The sequence below is a fragment of the Homo sapiens genome, chromosome X (genome assembly GCF_000001405.40).
Source record: "Homo sapiens chromosome X, GRCh38.p14 Primary Assembly".
Taxonomy (NCBI): Eukaryota; Metazoa; Chordata; class Mammalia; order Primates; family Hominidae; genus Homo; species Homo sapiens.
This window is the reverse complement of record NC_000023.11, coordinates 19,979,267-19,997,541: the sequence shown is the minus strand read 5'-3', so window position 1 is coordinate 19,997,541 and position 18,275 is coordinate 19,979,267. Positions and strand designations below refer to the sequence as shown.

Genomic DNA, 18,275 nt, shown 5'->3' with positions numbered 1-18,275 from the left:
GGAGAGTGGGAATTGGAGTGAAAAGTTAAGACGAGACTGTGGGGTACCTAATAAATATGGGGTTGAACAAAGTAAATTCGTCAGGCAAATGAAGTTTTGGAGAGATGAATGACTTTTGAATTGGTTTTGGGGTTGTGCGTGGACACAAAAGAGACCATTTATGGTAGGAAGGGATTTGGGTATAGAGTTTCTACAGTGGGAAGGCACTGGACTTTTTCTTTTCTTTTCTTTTCTTTTTTTCTGAGTCAGAGCCTCACTCTGTTGCCCAGGCTGGAGTGCAGTGGCATAATCTCGGCTCACTGTAACCTCACCCTCCCGGGTTCAAGCGATTCTCCTGCCTCAGCCTCCAGAGTAGCTGGGATTACAGACATGCGCCACCACACTCGGCTAATTTTTGTATTTTTGTTACGGACGGGATTTCACCATGTTAGCCAGGCTGCTCTTATTTGTTTATTTCTTTGAGACAGGGTCTTGCTCTGTTGCCCAGGCCGGAGTGCAGTGGCGCAATCTCAGATCACTACAAGTTCTGCCTCCCGGGCTCAGATGATTCTCCCATCTCAGTCTCCCAAGTAGCTGGGACAACAGGTTCCTACCACCATGCCTGGCTAATTCTTTGTGTTTTTTTGTAGAGACGGTGTTTTGCCATGTTGTGTGGGCTGGTCTCAAACTCCTCCTTTTTGCCTTGCGTTAATGTAGGTAGACTATCTCAAAATGTTTTTCAAAATAATTGCTGAGTTGTAAGACACTGCTTTAAAACCACAGATATTATATGTCTTTCAGAACCAGAGCCAAGCCACTACACCTATTACATTACAAAAGAGTTCATCAGAAATAATTTATAGGACCAGAGGACTGACTGGTAGCAACTACCAAATTTTGTTTAGGAATTTGTCCTCCATCTCAGTAGGAAAACAGACATACAGGCAGTGACTAGAATGAGCAAAAAGAAACCTGCAGCATAAGCCTGTCTAAAAACATTTTCATCCAAACAATATAAATCAGTTCTGTCTGCACTCTGCTGTTGACAAAGCCATTTAAAAAGCAAAGGTAAAGAAAGGACAGCGTCCACAAAAAAATGCCTATATCATGGGATGGAAGACAAGGAGGAGGGAACAGGGCCAGCTAAGCATTATACATTAAATTTCATTAATAGCGTTAAGCCACACAACCAAAGTCAGATCGTTAAGGCAAGGGAAAATGCACCTGGTTCTGCCAGTCCTGGGTTCTAAGCGCTAATGGAGATGCTGAAGTCACACCATCACCATACAAACTAGGGTCAATCTGGACAACAGTGTTTTCAAGGGTTGAGAAAGCTATTTGTCCTACTGCTTCACAATTTTCTTTTTCTCACGTCAGCATTTAAAAAAGAAAGCCACACAGAAGGGTGGCGGGAGAACGTGCCAAGGCAGCTGATAGGTCTCCCCAGAAGCTGATGCTCTCCAAAAAATGACGATGGCAGTATGTACTTTGTCTAAGTCTGCATTGCAGCCTGAATTGCTCCTTTTAAAACTGTTTACATTTTTCTCTGGTTTAAGGATTTTAAAACTACCCTGAATTACAGCAAGCCTCTATGTCCATGTTCTGGTTTGCAGGGAGTACAAGCGATGCAGCAGTGGTTCTCGTTTGAGGGTGCGTCAGAGTCACCTGGAGACTTGCTGAAATGAAGTTTGCTGGGCCCTACTCCTAGAGTTAGTTTCTTTCTTTTTCTTTCTTTCTTTCTTTCTCTTTCTTTCTTTCCTTCCTTCCTTCCTTCCTCCTTCCTTCCTTCCCTCCCTCCTTCCCTCCCTCCTTCCCTCCCTCCTTCCCTCCCTCCTTCCTTCCTTCCTTCCTTCCCTCCCTCCCTCCCTCCCTCCCTCCCTCCCTCCCTCCCTCCCTCCTTTCTTTCTTTCTTTCTTTCTTTCTTTCTTTCTTTCTTTCTTTCTTTCTTTCTTTCTTTCTTTCTTTCTTTCAGAGTCTTGCTCTGTCACACAGGCTGGAGTGCAATGGTGCAATCTCGGCTCACTGCAACCTCTGCCCCCCAGGTTCAAGTAATTCTCCTGCCTCAGCCTCCCGAGTAGCTGGGATTATAGGTGTGAACCACCACGCCTGGCTAATTTTTGTGTTTTTAGTAGAGACAGGGTTTCCCCATGTTGGCCAGGCTGGTCTTGAACTCCTGACCTCGGAAGATCCACCCACCTCAGCCTCCCAAAGTGCTTGGATTACAGTGAGCCACCATGCCCAGCCCTAGAGTTTCTGATTTGGTGGCTTGAAGCAGGAGCTTCACTATGTAGTGTATGGTCCCACCCTTGCTTGTTTTCTTCTGATATGACAGTGGTAAGCTCTCCGGCAGGGTCTATTCTTTCAGTCTGGATCCCAGACAGAAGAGTCAAAGTTGCCCCACGATGGATGTGAAATGTAAGTGAGAAATAAACATTTGCTGTTCTTTCTTTCTCCAAGCCACTGAGGTTTTGGGATTGTTATTGTAGCATAGCTTATTCTTACCAATACAAATTCCTTGTTTGAAGCAGAGCTGGCATTCTGCAGCAGATTTGGCTTCACATGAAACCCAAAGGAAAGGAAAGGCAAGGGAGATGATACTCCGTTTCTCTTAGGCTTGCTCTGCGTACATGTGCATGTATGCTATTCATATAGACACCAAGGACTATGTGCAAACTGTTTAACCTCTCTTTCCACACAAGTAGACAGCAAATAGGGCCAAGGACCATCTACTTGTGCTGTCTGTTGACAATTGTGAGTCTGGAAAAAGACCACCTTGTTCAAAGAGGAGTCAAAAGAAATATATATATATATATATATATATATATATACATACATACATACACACACACATATATATACACATACACAAATATATATACACATATACATATATATCTGTGTGCATATATGTATATGTATGTATATATGTGTGTATATATTTTTTATTTATAAATATAAATATGTGTGTATATAAATTTATATTTGTGTGTACATATATTTATATTTACATATAATGAAGACACAGAAACCATGGGAATGGAAGAGAAAAAAACAGCACATTTCTTTTTTTTTTTTTTGAGATGGAGCATCGCTCTGTCACCCAGGCTGGAGTGCAGTGGCGCAATCTTGGCTGACTGCAACCTCCACCTCCTGGGTTCAAGCGATTCTCCTGCCTCAGCCTCCTGAGTAGCTGGGACTACAGACGTGCGCCACCACGCCCAGTTAATTTTTGTACTTTTAGTAGAGACGGGGGTTTCCCCATGTTGGCCAGGCTGGTCTCGAACTCCTGACTTCAAGTGATCCACCCTCCTTGACCTCCCAAAGTGCTGGGATTACAGGCGTGAGCCACTGCACCTGTCCCAAAGGAGCATACTTCTGAAAAGGATTATCTGCAGAATCTGAAAGAAAAATTTCACAACCGGTTTAGCATCCTTTTGGAATATGATAGGCTTTCTATAAAATCAGAACAGAAATTCGTAAGGAAATGAAAGGGTGAGATGGAGATTACTACAGTAACGGGAGAGAACCGGGCGGGAGAGAATACAAAGAAACAAAAATCTCAATAATAAAGTTTGAGTCAAAATAGAGACAGAAATAATGCTTTAGAAAGCCATATCAGTATCAATAAAGCAAACTTGAGGTCTACTGGAAATGCTGGAAATGGATGAAAGACGAAAATGATAAAACAGGCCGGTGCGGTGGCTCCTGCCTGTAACCCCAACACTTTGGGAGGCCAAGGCGGGTAGATCACTTGAGGTCACAAGTTCGAGACCAGCCTGGCCAACATGGTGAAACCACGTCTTCACTAAAAATACAAAAAGTAGCCGGGCATGGTGGTGGGTGCCTGTAATCCCAGCTACTCAGGTGGCTGAGGCAGAAGAATTGCTTGAACCTGGGAGGCGGAGGTTGCAGTGAGCCAAGATTGCATCATTGCACTCCAGCCTGGGTGACAAGAGAGAGACTCCGTCTCAAAAAAATAAATAAATAAATAAAAATAAAAAAATAAAACAGAGAACTAATACAGCTAATTGCTCTTCCTAAAAGAGAGATTAGAGCTAATGGAGCAGAAACAATTCTTGAAGATAGAATGGAAGAAAATGTTTCTGAATTGAGGCCATATATATGCAGGTGAAAAAGGACTCACACCTCTTAACCAGAAAGAAAAAGCATTATTTATTCTTACATTACAAAAACTTTAGTATGACCAGAGCATTGTGTACAAGGGGAAGAGAGGCTAGAGTTTGTATGCTGTTTGAAAGCATGTTCCCTGCCAAACAGGAAGCAAAGTCATATATGAAGAAAGGAAAATGATCATTTGCATAAGGCTTAAAAAGAGTGGTAAAAGGGTTTGTAACAGCAATTATTGGAAAAAAGATCACATAAAAGGGTCACATAAAATGATTACAAAGTGCTATCAGGCTCTCCACTGTGGTGGGCATCCACACATTTGTAGTGGCATCATTCTTTGATAGTTGTGTGGCTTTCTCCCCGCCCAAGCAGTGTTTGGAAATGTAGACGTAGGAATGGAAAATGCAGACTGGAGTTTTAAGTGGTAGTTTAATGTTAGGACAAGTCAAAGGGCAAAGCAGGGGGCTCTGCTTACAAGAGTGGTTGAAGGCTGGGCACAGTGGCTCCTGCCTGTAATCCCAACACTTAGGGAGGCCGAGGCAGCAGGATCACTTGAGCCTAGAAGTTCCAGAACAGCCTGGGCAACATGGCGAAACCCTGTCTCTACAAAAAAAAATTTTTTTTTTAATTAGCTGGGCATGGTGGTGCACGTCTGTTGCAACAGCTACTCTAGAGGCTGAGGCAGGAGTGTCACTTGAGCCCAGGAGTTTGAGGTTACAGTGAGCTATGATTATGCCACTGTACTCCAGCCAGGACCACGACCAAGTGAGACCCCTGACTCTTAAAAAAAAAAACAACAAAAAAAGGCCGGGACGCGGTGGCTCATGCCTGTCATCCCAGCACTTTGAGAGGCTGAGACAGGCGGATCACTTGAGATCAGGAGTTTGAGACCAGCCTGGCCAACATGGTGAAACCCCGTCTCTACTAAAAATACAAAAATTAGCCGGGCATGGTGGCGCACACCTGTAATCCCAGCTACTCAGGAGGCTGAGGCAGGAGGATCACTTGAACCTGGGAGGCAGAGGTTGCAGTGAGCCGAGATCGCACCACTGCACTCCAGCCTGGGTGACAAGAGCCAGACTCTATCTCTAAATAAATAAATAGGCCGTGCGCTGTGGCTCACGCCTGTAATCTCAGCACTCTGGGAGGCTGAGGCGGGAGGATCACCTGAGGTCAGGAGTTCGAGACCAGCCTGGCCGACATGGGGAAACCCTGTCTCTACTAAAAAAAAAAAAAAAATTAGCCGGGCATGGTGGCGCAGCCTGTAATCCCAGCTACTCAGGAGGCTGAGGCAGGAGAATCACTTGAACCCGGGAGGCAGAGGTTGCAGTGAACCGAGATCACACCACTGCACTCCAGCATGGGTGACAGAGATTCTGTCTCAAAATAAATAAATAAGTAAAAATAAAAAAGTGGTTGTAGTCAAAGGCTATGGGTTTAAGTTGGGTAGTGGGATTTCAACATTTAAGGTTTTAGAGATGGAGCAGTATCAAGTGATGAATATCTAGATTTTCTAGACTACGGGTGAACAAAGTAGAAGTAAAGGTCATTCGGATTGAGGAACTGAAGGAAACCAGGCTGGGTTGTGGATGTTGGATTCATTGGGAGGATGGCAGTAAATCAGATGGAGAGGAAAACTAATGCCAGACAGTCAGTAGGTGACAGTGACAAGGGAGGGCAAAAGGTGTTACTACCAGATGGCACAGAGCCTGAAAGAGCTATTTCACAAGGGGAAGAAAGAATATCAGTGTCAAGCGGAAAGCTTCAAGAGTGAAGAAGACACACTACCTTTGAGGCTGGTGCATGGAGTGTGGGAGGGGAGAAACCAAGCGAGTAGACAGAGATGAGGCAATCTTTTGAATTGGATGACGGATAGATGTTGGTACCATCCGACCATTTGGGAAGTCCAGAGGGGAGGCTTTGTTTTCCGGGAATATGCTTAATTTGAGGAGTGGGAAATGGATAGAGGGTAGGTGAATGGTTAGAGATCTGCACAAAGCTGGAAGGCCCACGGGATCAAGTTCTGCCCATGACTGAGGGGTGACCTCCAATCCCTGGGCCTTAACCCCCAGGATCCCTGGACCTGGAACGCCCATTAGGTCCCCTCCTTTCCGGCGAGAGGGCGGCAGAGGGCGCAGGCGCTCTAGCCGGACCCGGCGGGCGGGTGGCAGAGGGCGCAGGCGCCCTGGACAGAGCGGCCGCAGTGGGAACGGCCGGCAGGGGGCGCAGCGCTCTGGTCCGAGAAGCCCGGGCGGGGCACCCTCGCCGGGAGAGTAGAGGATAGGGGTCGGCTGGAGAACGGGCCCAGTGCGAGGCCGCGAGCAGTGGGCGGGGCCGGGGTGGGGGCGGGGCGAGGCGGTTCCGGAAGGAAGTGGTTCCGGGTCCCGCGGCCCGGCAGAGGTGGCTGGGGTGTCGCTGCTGTGGGAGGCGGCGGCAGAGTGAGGGGCGAGGCCCGAGGGGCCGGCGGCGGCGGCGGCGGCGGCGGCGGCGGCGGCGGCGGCGGCGGCGGCGGGGGCTTCCCGGCCGGGTGAGCGGCTCGGGGGGAGGCGGGGCGAGGAGGCCTGGGCCCGCAGGGAGGGCGTGTCCGCCACCCAGGAGGGGCGGTTCTCGGGGTGGCGGATGGGGCAGCGGGGAGGATGCGGCGGTCCGACTCGGGTTCTGTTGGGACAGCTCCTCTGCGCCCCGTAGGTCCCTCGGTCAGCGCCTTCCCTTGGGCGCGGCGACCCGGCGCGGGTTTCCAGGGGACAGCTGCCCGGCGCCCCTGAGGTCCCTCGACAGGCACGGCGACCCGGGCACCTGCTGCCGCGACCCTGATCCTCCGCCGTCGTCGGGCAGGTTGCGGTCCCCGCGGTTCCCTGCATCTGTTAAGAGGGCGGGGGCCGGGAAGGCGGTGTCCGGGGACGGTGCCCTTGTCCTCGAGGCGGCCCTGGACGCGTCGCCTGCGGGGCCTGAACCGAGGACCCCCCCGTACCCCGCTTTGTCCTGGTGAGGCGCTCCTGCCGCGCAGCGGCATCTTCCTCTGTTAACGTCGAGAATGAGTAGTGAAGGCTGCTCATTATCCTGCATTGTAAAGTAAAACTTGTCTTTTTAGAAGCGTCTCCTGAAAATTGGCGCATCTCCTGTGCTTCTCTGGGTTGTATTGGGAAACTGGGCCAGTCGCTGTCAGGACTGTCCTGTTGGTAGGTCTCGAGGGAAAGAAATGGGAGAGAAACCTACCCCGTAAATATTTTCCTACTCAGGTGCTTTTCGAACTACCTATTAGGTGATTGCCTTTTTTTTTTTTTTTTTTTTTCCTGGAACAAATTACAAACTGCAGGTAGAAATCAGGAAGGCCTCTTTAGGCTCCTCGCCAGGCAGCCTTTTTAGCATTTTTCTGAATGTGAACAGGTCCAAACGACAGAGCAGAATTTGAAAAGAAAGGTTTTGCTGCAGATTCATAACGAGGACTTTATTTTTCATTGGTATTTTAATGGTAATGGTATAGCAATGTTTTATTTTTAATGTTTTTTTTAAATGGCTACTAAAATTTTATTTTGAAATCACAGCTGTTTCAGTCACCCCCAAGAAACCTTTAAAACGTCTTATTAGAAACATTTTTATATATAGGAACATTTAGCCATTTATACACATTTCTAAGATAGAAATCACAATGAAGATACGTTGTTTCACTATTCCAAGTTCCAAGTAACCATGGTGAATATGGTTTCCCCATTCCAAGTAACCATTGTGAATGTGGTTATACACCTCCAGTCTTTTTCTATGCAGAGCTTAATACATGAGTTTTTCTAAAGTGAATTCTCTTTTGTAATTATCTTTTTCTGACTAGATAGCATGCCATTATATGGCTGTAATATTATAATTTATTTCATTGGTCATTCTCAGTTCTTCCCTATTAAAATACATTGTTGGGTAAATGTAAAAGTCCGCATATCTATGATTACTTTCGAATCTCACTCTGTCGCCCAGGCTGGAGTGTAGTGGCACGATCTCGGCTCACTGCAACCTCCACCTCCTGGGTTCAAGTGATTCCCCTGTGTCAGCCTCCCGAGTAGCTGGGACTACAGGCGTGTGCCACCATGCCCGGCTAATTTTTGTATTTTTAGTAGAGATGGGGTTTCACCATATTTGCCAGGCTGGTCTCAAACTCCTGACCTCCAGCGATCTGCCCGCCTCGGCCTCGCAAAGTGCTGGGATTACAGGTGTGAGCCACCGCGCCCGGCCCATGATTACTTTCTAAGTGTACATTCCTAGATGATAGAATTATTGGGCAGAGTATGCACATAAGGGTTTTTTTTTTTTTAATGTGAATTGCTCAATTTCCCTCTGGAAAGGATATGCTGTTTTGCACTCCTACCAACAATCTGTGAGTGTCCTTACCCACACCCTAGCAAAAGGCAACATTTAAAGGGATTTCTATAGGAATACTTTTGAGCCATACTTGTACTCTCCAACCAAGTACAACTACCCCTCTCTAGTCATCACTTTTTTCTTATTTGTTGATAGCACTTCAGCTTCTCATCTTTTATTGCGCCTTTACTATTTTGGTAAAGAAAGCTTATCTAGGTGAGGCAAAGGCGTAATAGAACAAACAAGAGATTTAAAGTTAGGATCCCCTTGAAATCCAGTATATCTGATTATCTTGAACAAGTCACTTAACTTTTCTAAGGTACTCTTTCCTCAGTGATGCATTAGGGGTTATAATACAGTTGCCTTACTTTTCTTAAGGATTATTTTAAGGGTCAGTTGAAACATTCCTGGAAAGTACATTTAGACACACTTTGTCTTGTTGGTATTTTTAAAAATTATTTTTAATTTATTATTTTTAAATAGAGACAGTGTCTCACTATGTTGCCTAGGCTGGTCTCAAACTCCTGAGCTCGAGCGATTCTCCTGCCTTGGCCTTGCAGAGTGCTGGGATTACAGGCATGAGCCACTGCACCCGGCCATGTTATTACCATCTGGTAGAAATTTCAGAGCACAGAAGCATCTTGAGGTTCATACATTTTTTAAAGTAAATACCTTAATTCAAAAGGCTATTCTCTGATACCCTTTGCCCCCATACTCTTTCACTCCTTAAATTTGAAGTTTTTTGTTTTACTGCTGCCCTAGATTATATTCAAAACTTTATCAGGGTTATGAAATTAGATGAGTGAATGAATCTGCACAAATGTTGAAGGAGCAAATATTTAAAAGCGCTATATAAAGCTGAGAGGGACAGGTATAACGCTAAATAAAACACAGTACTTGGGCTCATGATAAATAAAACATGGTCTTTGTGCCCTGCAGGCTACATTATCCAGGCAGCAGAGGGCATAAAAGCTGCTTTCCAAATTTAGATGGCAATTTTAGATGTGATGCCTGATGTCAACTATTCTCAAGTATGCTAAAGCCCATTTCTGCTGACCAAGCACCTGAGCAAGTGACCGGGCAGCCTCCACAGGGTCATCTTTCTGAAGGTAGGATTCGCAAGGTGAGGAAGTGGTAGTATTATAGTCCAAGAACCTGGGTTCTACTTTCAGGTCCTCCACCTGGGGCAGATCAGTTAACTTTTTTGAGGCTGGCTTTATTCACTCGTGAAATGGAGGTAATTCCAGCTTCCTCATGTGTTTGTTGTGAGGATTACATGACATAGTACGTGTACAACACTTAGTAAACCAGGAACTGCTGGTACTCATGTCATCATTCTTACCCACTAGAGACTTAGCTTCCCCAGGAAAGAAAGTAGGTCTCTTCTAACTTTGTATTCCTACCCCCTAGCAGTCACTGGTACTTAGTCACGTTTGATAAATTAACATAGAATGTGACCACTGATAAAAATTCAGTTTGGGGGTGCCGGGCACAGTGGCTCACGCCTGTAATCCCAGCACTTTGGGAAGCCAAGGTGGACGGATCACCTGAGGTCAGGAGTTTGAGACCAGCCTGGCCAACATGGTGAAACCCCATCTCTGCTAAAAATACAAAAAGTAGCCAGGCGTGGTGGTGCATGCCTGTAATCCCAGCTACTCAGGAGGTTGAGGCATGAGAATTGCTTGAACCCAGGAGGCGGAGGTTGCAGTGAGTCGAGATCGTGCCACTGCACTCCAGCCTGGGTGACAGAGCAAGACTCTGTCTCTAAATAAATAAGTAAATTCAGTTTGGACCAATGAAGAAGGTAATATGTAAATATGGAATATTGGGAAAAATTGACCACGTTATTTGGAGTTAATGTTAAGGAATCAAAGGAAACATTGAACTAATTGGACTTAGACTCATCTCTGCTATGACTATCATTCTACTTTAGATCCCTAATGCCAGGCAAATAGTCCCTCCTTATTAAGAATAAATGTACTGGCTGGGCATGGTGGTTCATACTTATAATCCCAGCACTTTGGGAGGCTGAACTGGGAGGATCACCTGAGGCCAGGAGTTTGAGACTAGCCCTGGCAACATAGCAAGACCCTGTCTCTACAAAAAAATTTTTAAAAAATTAGCTGGGTATGGGGTATGCACCTATAGTCCCAGCTACTCAAAGACTGAAGCGAGAGGATCACTTGAGCCCAGGAGTTCAAGGCTGCAGTGAGCTATGATTGCACTACCGCACACCAGCCTGGGTGAGGGGGTGAGACCTGGACTCAAGGGGAAAAAAAAAAAAAAAAAAACCGACTCAAGTTTCTCCCATTTTAAAACCTCATTCCTAGACCTCTAATCACCCTGCTGCTACCTAGTTTCTCTCTTCCCCCTTCCCTTCCCAGCTGGACTGTTTGAAAGAGTTGTTAATAATTGGCTTTCTCAGTTTAGCCCTCAAGACATGTGTTAACAGTTTTCATTCCTTTTATTTGATCTCTCTGCAGTATTTACCATGAAAGTCTCCCTTTTTGAAACATCCTTCTTTTGTTTCTGAGATTCTGTGTTCCAAGGTTCCCTTCTTCCTCCTGGGAAGTTCCTTCTCAGTTTCTCCTTTGCTGGTTCATCTTCCTCCAAAGGTTGATTTTCCGCAGGCTTGATCCTTCTTGTGCCGTACTGTCTCTGGAACAATTTATAGAGCATTGAGGCTATCTCGTGTTTGAAGATTTGGTAGAATTCCCTGTGAAACCATCTGGGCCTGACGCTTTTTCATGTGATATTTCCTTTATAACTTTCTCAATTTTTTTTTCTGTGGAAATTGGTCTATTTAAGCTTTCTAACTCTAATGGAGAAAATTTTAGTGATCTGTACTTTTCTAGCAAATTATCCCTTTCATCTGGGTTTTCAAATTTATTTGGTAGAGGTCTACAAAGACATCCTTTATTATTTTTAAATTTTTTCATCTTATTTCCTCCATGCCCTCATTTTGTGTTTCTGTGCTTTTCCCCTTTTTTCCTTAAGTTATCTAATGGTTTATCTATTTTATTTTGTTATTTTTTTCAAAAACTACAGAATTTTGAATTATTAATTAGATCTGTTTTTCTGTTTTTTTCCCCTCATTCTTTTCTTCTACTTTCATCTTTTTTTGCTTGTTTTTTCCTGAGACAAGGTCTCTCTCTGTCACTCAGACTGACGTGCAGTCAGTGGCATTGTCTCAGCTCACTGTAGCCTCTACCTCCTGGGCTCAAGCAATCCTCCCACCTCAGCCTCCCAAGTAGCTGGGACTACAGTGGTGCACCACCACACTTGGCTAATTTTGATAATTTTTTTTTGTAGAGACAAGGTCTGCCCATGTTGCCCGGGCTGGCCTTGAACTCTTGGCCTCAAATAATCCTCCTGCCTCAGTCTCCCAAAGTGCCGGAATTACAGGCATGAGCCACTGTGCCTGGCCTACTTTAATCTTTATTATTTACTTCCATGTCCTTTCTTTTGGTTTATTTTGTTATTTTTTAAGTTTCTTTTTTTTTGAGGCAGGGTCTCACTCTGTCACCCAGGCTGGGGTGCAGTGGTCTATCATAGCTCACTGTAGCCTTGAATTCCTGGGCTTTAGCAATCCCCCTGCCTCAACCTCCCGAGAAGCTAGGACTACAGGCGTGTGCCACCACGCCTAGCTAATTTTTTTTTAATTATTTTTTTGTAGAGACAGGGTCTTGTTATGTTTCCCAGGCTATTCCCAAACTCCTGGCATCAAGTGGTACTCCCACCTTAGCCTCCCAAAGCAGTGGGATTACAGGTGTGAGTGCACGGTGCCTAGCCTATTTTTAAGTGTTTTTTGACCTTGGAATAAAATTTACTTATTTTTATTCTTTCATTTTTACTAATAATTGTGTTTAGTGCAATGAATTTTCCTCTGATTACTGCTTTAAATGCATGCTATAAAATTGGATTTGTAGGCTGGTTCGAGTGCAGTGGTATTTACAACTAATCGATGGCAACCAGTTACAGATTTCTTTGTTCCTTCTTCACTCCCGCTACTTCACTTGACTAGCCTTAAAAACATAAAAAAGTAAATAAAAAAGAATCTGATATGTAATGTTTTCAGTGTCGTTATTTCTTTAAAAATGTATAATTTTGGCCGGGCTCACGCCTGTAATCCCAGCACTTTGGGAGGCCGATGCAGGCAGATCACCTGAGGTCGGGAGTTTAAGACCAGCCTGACCAACATGGAGAAACCCCGTCTCTACTAAAAAAATACAAAATTAGCCGGGCGTGGTGGTGCATGCCTATAATCCCAGCTACTCGGGAGGCTGAGGCAGGAGAATCACTTGAACCTGGGAGGCGGAGGTTGCAGTGAGCCGAGATTGTGCCATTGCACTCCAGCCTGGGCAACAAGAGTGAAACTCCGTCTCAAAAAAAAAAAAAGTATAATTTTAGTTCTAAAATACCCAGGAGTTGCTTAATAGTAGGCTATTAAATTTCTACATGGAAGAGGCTTTCTGTTTTTTAAATTATTGTTAATAAATTCTAGTTTCATTGCATTATAATCAGACATATTGTTTGTAATATTTCCACTTTATTGAAGTGGAAATATTTTTTCTTTGTGACCTAATATATGATTATTTTGATGAATGTGGTGTGAGCAGTTGAGAAGAAACTGTATTCATTAGTATCAGAGTGTAGAGTTTGATAAACATTAGTAAGAGTTACTCTATTGAGTATGTTGTTTAGATTTTAGGTCTCCTTATTTTTGGTTCACCTAATATGTCTTGTACAAAGAATGATGTATTAAAGTCTCCTATTATTAGTGTGTTTCCAGTGTCTCCTCGCATCTCTTGTAGTTTTTGTCTCATGAAGGTGATTGCTGTGTTATGTTTATATAAATACATATATTTATATGTTATATCTTCATTGTGGGGTGTGGCTTTTGGGATTAAAAAGTGTCTTTTTGTGTCACAGTTAATGCTTTAGGACATGGATTCTGCTTTGCCTGAGACCAGGGTTGCCATTCCTAGTCTTTTTTTTTTTTTTTTTTTTTTTTTGAGATGGAGTCTTGCTCTTGTTGCCCAGGCTGGAGTGCAGTAGCACGATCTCGGCTCACTGCAACTTCCGCCTCCCGGGTTCAAGCGATTCTCCTGCCTCAGCCTCCTGAGTAGCTGGGACTATAGGCGCGTGCCGCCACGCCCAGCTACATTTTTTTATATTTTTAGCGGAGACGGGGTTTCACGGTGTTTGCCAGGCTGGTCTCGAACTCCTGACCTGAGGTGATCCACCCGCCTTAGCCTCCCAAAGTGCTGGGATTACAAGCATAAGCCACCTTGCCCAGCTGCCTACTCTCCTTTTGTTTCCATTTGCCTCGTATACCTTTTCCAGCTATTTATGTATTTACTTATTTATTTAGAGACTGTGTCTCACTCTCTTTCCCAGGCTGGAGTGCAGTGGTGTGATCTTGGCTTACTGTAAGCTCCGCCTCCCGGGTTCAAGTGATTCTCCTGCCTCAGCCTCCTGAGTAGCTGGGACCGTAGGCGCATGCCACCATGCCCAGCTACATTTTTTTTATATTTTTAGTGGAGACGGGGTTTTGCCGTGTTTGCCGGCCTTGTCTTCTGACCTCAGGTGATCCACCCGCCTTGGCCTCCCAAAGTGCTGGGATTACAGGCATGAGCCACCATGCCCAGCTAATTTTTTTGTATTTTTAGTAGAGACGGGGTTTCGCCATGTTGGCCAAGCTGGTCTCGAACTCCTGACTTCTGGTGATCTGCCCGCCTGCCTCGGCCTCCCAAAGTGCTGGGGTTACAGGTGTGAGCCACTATGCCCGGCCTAACCTTTTATTTTTAACCATTCAGAATCACTTTGGGGCTGGGTGTTGTGGCTCACGCCTGTAATCCCGGCACTTTGGGAGGCCAAGGCAGGTGGATCACCTGAGGTCAGGAGTTTGAGACCAGCTTGGCCAACATGGCGAAACCCCATCTCCACTAAAAATACAAAAAAATTTAGCTGGGCGTGGTGCTGCACACCTATAGTACCAGCTACTTGGGAGGCTGAAGCACGGGAATCGCTTGAACTTGGGAGGTGGAGGTTGCAGTGAGTGGAGATGGTGCCGCTGCAGTCCAGCCTGGGCAACAGAGCCTCCGTCTCAAAAAAAAAAAAAAAAAAGAAAAAAAAAAGGAATCACTTTGGTTTAGATATGTCTTTTGTATTGTAAAAGTTGTTGAGGTTTCTTCTGTTAGTCAAATTGAAAATTTTTATTGTAATAGGTGGATTAAGCCCACCCACATTTATTGTTAGGACTGAAAAATTTGACCTCAAATCCATCATAATATTTTATAATTATGTGTATTTGTTATCTTTGCCATTTCTCTATGCGAGGTAGATATTTTGCTCTTTTATTACAAAAATTAGGGTGTGTGTGGGGGTGTATTTAGGAAGGTTTGCATTTTTGTTCTAATCGTTTACCTTTGTACTTACACCTTTTAAAATACCCTCACTCCTTTGTTTGCTTATTTTTCTGTGCATGTGTGTGTGTGTGCGTGTGTGTGTGTGTGTGTGTGTGTGTGTGTGTGTGAAATTGCATCTATGTAATCAAAGTAGGATAATGATAGACAACTGTGGAATTCTGTATCTACTTCGTGCTCCTCCTTACTGAAGAACTGGCAATAACAGATAACAGCTACCCACCGTGGCCAAGATAATAATCCATGATGGTCTCTTCAGGTCTACCTTCCCCTTCTCACTATTCTACTGATTGTGCTCTTTTTCTGTGGGCTCTGACTTGGTGCGTTTCTGTGATGGGAGTGTGGCTTTTTTGTTTGTTTGTTTGTTTGTTGTTGTTGTTGGAGAGAGGGGGTTTCACTGTGTTGCCCAGGCTGGTCTCTAACTTCTGGGCTCAAAGGATCTGCCTGCCTCTGCCTTCCAAAGTGTTGGGATTACAGGCATGAGCCACCACGCCCAGCCTGAGGCTTCTTTGTTGCAAAGGCTTTCCTGGGGAATTTTTATTCTTTGCATTTGTAAATGCTGAATTCACATTTAGTGTGGAATCTCTGTCAGTTGATTTTTTTTCTGTAACAGCTTTGTTGAGATAGAATTAACATAACACAATTTACCCATTTAAAGTGTACAATTCAGTGTTTTTTAGTATATTCATAGAGTTGTGCAACCATCACCACAGTCTAATTTTAGAACATTTTCTTCACCCCCAAAAAGAAACTCTGTGCCCATTAGCCATCATTTCTCATCCCCCCACCCCTTCTCCCACCCAGGCAACCACCAGTCTACTTTTTATTTCTATGGATTTGCTTATTCTGGACATTTCATATAAAGGGAATCATATAATAGTGGTCTTTTGTGACTGGCTTCTTTCGCTTAGCATGATGTTTTCCAGGTTTGTCTGTGTTGTAGCATGTATTGGTACTTCATTCCCTTTTATGGTCAAATGATACATATTCCATTGTATAGTGTAGTATTAATATGCTCCTATGGATATTTGTATACAAGTTTTGTGTAGACATATGTTTTCATTTCTCCTGGGTATCTATCTAGGAGTGGAATAGTTGGGTCATACAGTAACTCTATGTTTAACTTGTGGGGGAACTGCCAAACTTTTCCAAGTGGCTACTCTATTTTACATTTCTACCAGGAATGTGTGAGGGTTCCAATATTTCTACATCCCTGAAATGCTTGTTATTTTGATGATGCCCAATTTATCCATTTTTTCTTTTGTTGCTTTGTTTTTTGTTTTGTTTTGATTTTTTTTGTAGCAGCAATTGGAAATAACGTTGCTTTGTTTTTGATATCCTAACTTAAAAATCATTTCCTGATCCAAGATCATACAGATTATTTTTATGTTTTCTTCTAAGTTTTATAGATTTAACTCTTATATTTAGGTCCTTAATCCATTTTGAGTTAATTTTTGTATATGGTATGAGGTAGGGTCAAACTTTAACCTTTTGCTTGTCGATATCCAGTTGTCTCAGCACCCGGTGTTGATTTGTTTAACCTCTTAATATCTGGTGTATCTATTTTTTCCTGCCAGTATCCCTTAAACCCACCTATTGTGTACATAGCAGTGGAACTGCTTCTACTGTTCTCTCTTGCTTTCTCTTCTTCTCCCGTTTTCTAGTTGTACTTTCTTTTTTTAACTCTATCACAATGTGTAGCAATTTTTTTTTTTTTTTTTGAGACGGAGTCTTACTCTGTCGCCCAGGCTGGAGTGCAGTGGTGCAATCTTGGCTCACTGCAACCTCTGCCTCCTGGGTTCAAGCGATTCTCGTGTCTCAGCCTCCCGAGTACCTGGGACTACAGGTGTGCAACACCACGCCTGTCTAATTTTTTGTATTTTTAGTAGAGATGGGGTTTCACCATGTTGGCCAGGCTGGTCTCCAACTCCTGGTCTCAGGTGATCTGCCCACCTCAGCCTCCCAAAGTGCTGGGATTACAGGTGTGAGCCACCACGCCCAGCCAATGTGTAGCAATTTTACACTAATCTTCCGCCTTCATCCTTATCTTTCTTTTAGTGTCTTATATGTACATTTACATATTTTTAAATGCTCACAATCAGTCCTTTTGCTGACATTTCCCCCATTTAGTTGAATAAAGCTCATCCTCCAGTATATTCCTCAGAAAGGGTTAGTGAGTGCAGAATTCCCTATACCCTTGTAAGTTGAAAACTGTTTTTCTTGTTGCCTTGATGTTTAAGGAACTTCGTGACTGATGTAAAATCCTCAGCTCACATTACTTTCATTGAGTTTTATTTTTTAGTGCTGCTGTTTCTCACCTTGCTTTGTATTTTGTTTTTGAAAAATCTCATAATCTGATACTGATCCAGTTCTTTTGGACTTTTAAGTTATTTATTCTTTTTGCCTGGGAGCCTTGAGAATTTTATCTTTATGTTTGAAATCACATAGTTTTTATTAGGCTATATTTCAGACTTACTTGTTCTAGATTAATTTTCCAAGGTACCTGTGAGACCTTAAATGTATAGATTCAGGTATTTTAGGTATTTTAAAATTTCTGGAATGTTTTCTTGCATTCTGAGCAAATTATAGTTTTAAATATTAGTTTAGTTCTATTGTTTGTTTTTTCTTCTTCAGGGACTGCAATTATATGAATATTAGTTTTTTTCTCTACCTATTTGCTATTTCCACTACTTTGTCTCTGACCCTTTCTTTCCCTCTCCCCACTATTCTCTCTCTCTCTCCCTTTCCCTCTCCCTCAATGTCATTTTTATTTTCTTGGTTGTTTTCATGCCAGCCTTCAATGTTCCTTATTAAATTTTAATTTGAGTTTATTCTCTCTTGGGCACATTGTAATTTATTCCTCACTTTTGAGATAGTTGAGTCTTTTTCTCTCATTTTTTTTTCTTGAGTTCAGTTAACTTTTATTCTTTCATTTTTTCATTTTTTATTTGTTTTTCATCTATTTCTGTTCTTAGTTTGTGAATTTCTGATTCAAGGTAGGTTTTTTAATATCCTCAAATGATTTTGAATATATTTAATTCTATTTGTAGTACAGGCATACCTCAGAGATATTGCGGGTTTGGTTCCAGACCACCACAATAAAGTGAATATTGTAATAAAGTGAGTCACACAATTTTTTTGTTTCCTGATGCACATAAAAGTTATGTTTATGCTATACTGCAGTTTGTTAGGTGTGCAAAAGCATTATGTCTAAAACAATACATACCTTAATTTAAAAATATATTATTGCTAAAAAAAAAATGCTGATGGTCCTCTAAGCCTTCAGTGACGCATCATCTTTCTACTGATGAAGGGTCTTGCCTTAGTTTTATGGGCTGGTGACTGATCAGGGGTTGGTTGTTGAAGGTTGGGGTAGCTAAGGCAATTTTTTTT

The 18,275-nt window shown here is 43.4% G+C and overlaps 1 protein-coding gene and 1 long non-coding RNA gene across 33 annotated transcripts in view, besides 4 other annotated features; both read left to right on the top strand.

The window, feature by feature from the left end:
- Window positions 6,139-6,568: a silencer, noted in NCBI's record as "silent region_20695". NCBI's record gives its function as "represses an Ori minimal core promoter by ATAC-STARR-seq in GM12878 lymphoblastoid cells {active_cell/tissue: GM12878}" and the evidence as "EXISTENCE:reporter gene assay evidence [ECO:0000049][PMID:35858748]".
- The window catches only part of BCLAF3 (BCLAF1 and THRAP3 family member 3), a 78,202-nt gene continuing 66,407 nt past the window's right edge, over window positions 6,481-18,275 (top strand). For 6 of the 32 annotated variants that reach the window (XM_047441982.1, XM_047441981.1, XM_047441978.1 and 3 more), the window contains exon 1: window positions 9,043-9,563. The gene's annotated coding sequence lies outside the window, so the exon portion shown is untranslated. Of the gene's footprint in view, window positions 6,635-6,667; window positions 7,287-9,038; window positions 9,578-18,275 lie in introns of those variants that run through there. The other 26 variants (XM_047441965.1, NM_198279.4, NM_001367774.2 and 23 more) reach the window with 18 other exon arrangements.
- Window positions 6,609-6,658: a silencer, noted in NCBI's record as "silent region_20694". NCBI's record gives its function as "represses an Ori minimal core promoter by ATAC-STARR-seq in GM12878 lymphoblastoid cells {active_cell/tissue: GM12878}" and the evidence as "EXISTENCE:reporter gene assay evidence [ECO:0000049][PMID:35858748]".
- Window positions 6,729-7,098: a silencer, noted in NCBI's record as "silent region_20693". NCBI's record gives its function as "represses an Ori minimal core promoter by ATAC-STARR-seq in GM12878 lymphoblastoid cells {active_cell/tissue: GM12878}" and the evidence as "EXISTENCE:reporter gene assay evidence [ECO:0000049][PMID:35858748]".
- Window positions 7,763-10,725, top strand: LOC729609 (uncharacterized). Its single transcript, NR_024440.1, has 2 exons — window positions 7,763-7,856; window positions 10,192-10,725. It is a non-coding gene; the product is annotated as an uncharacterized LOC729609 (long non-coding RNA).
- Window positions 14,434-14,625: a silencer, noted in NCBI's record as "fragment chrX:20001035-20001226 (GRCh37/hg19 assembly coordinates)". NCBI's record gives its function as "represses an EF-1alpha promoter that drives an FKBP-Casp9 reporter gene in an ReSE screen in K562 erythroleukemia cells {active_cell/tissue: K562}" and the evidence as "EXISTENCE:reporter gene assay evidence [ECO:0000049][PMID:32094911]".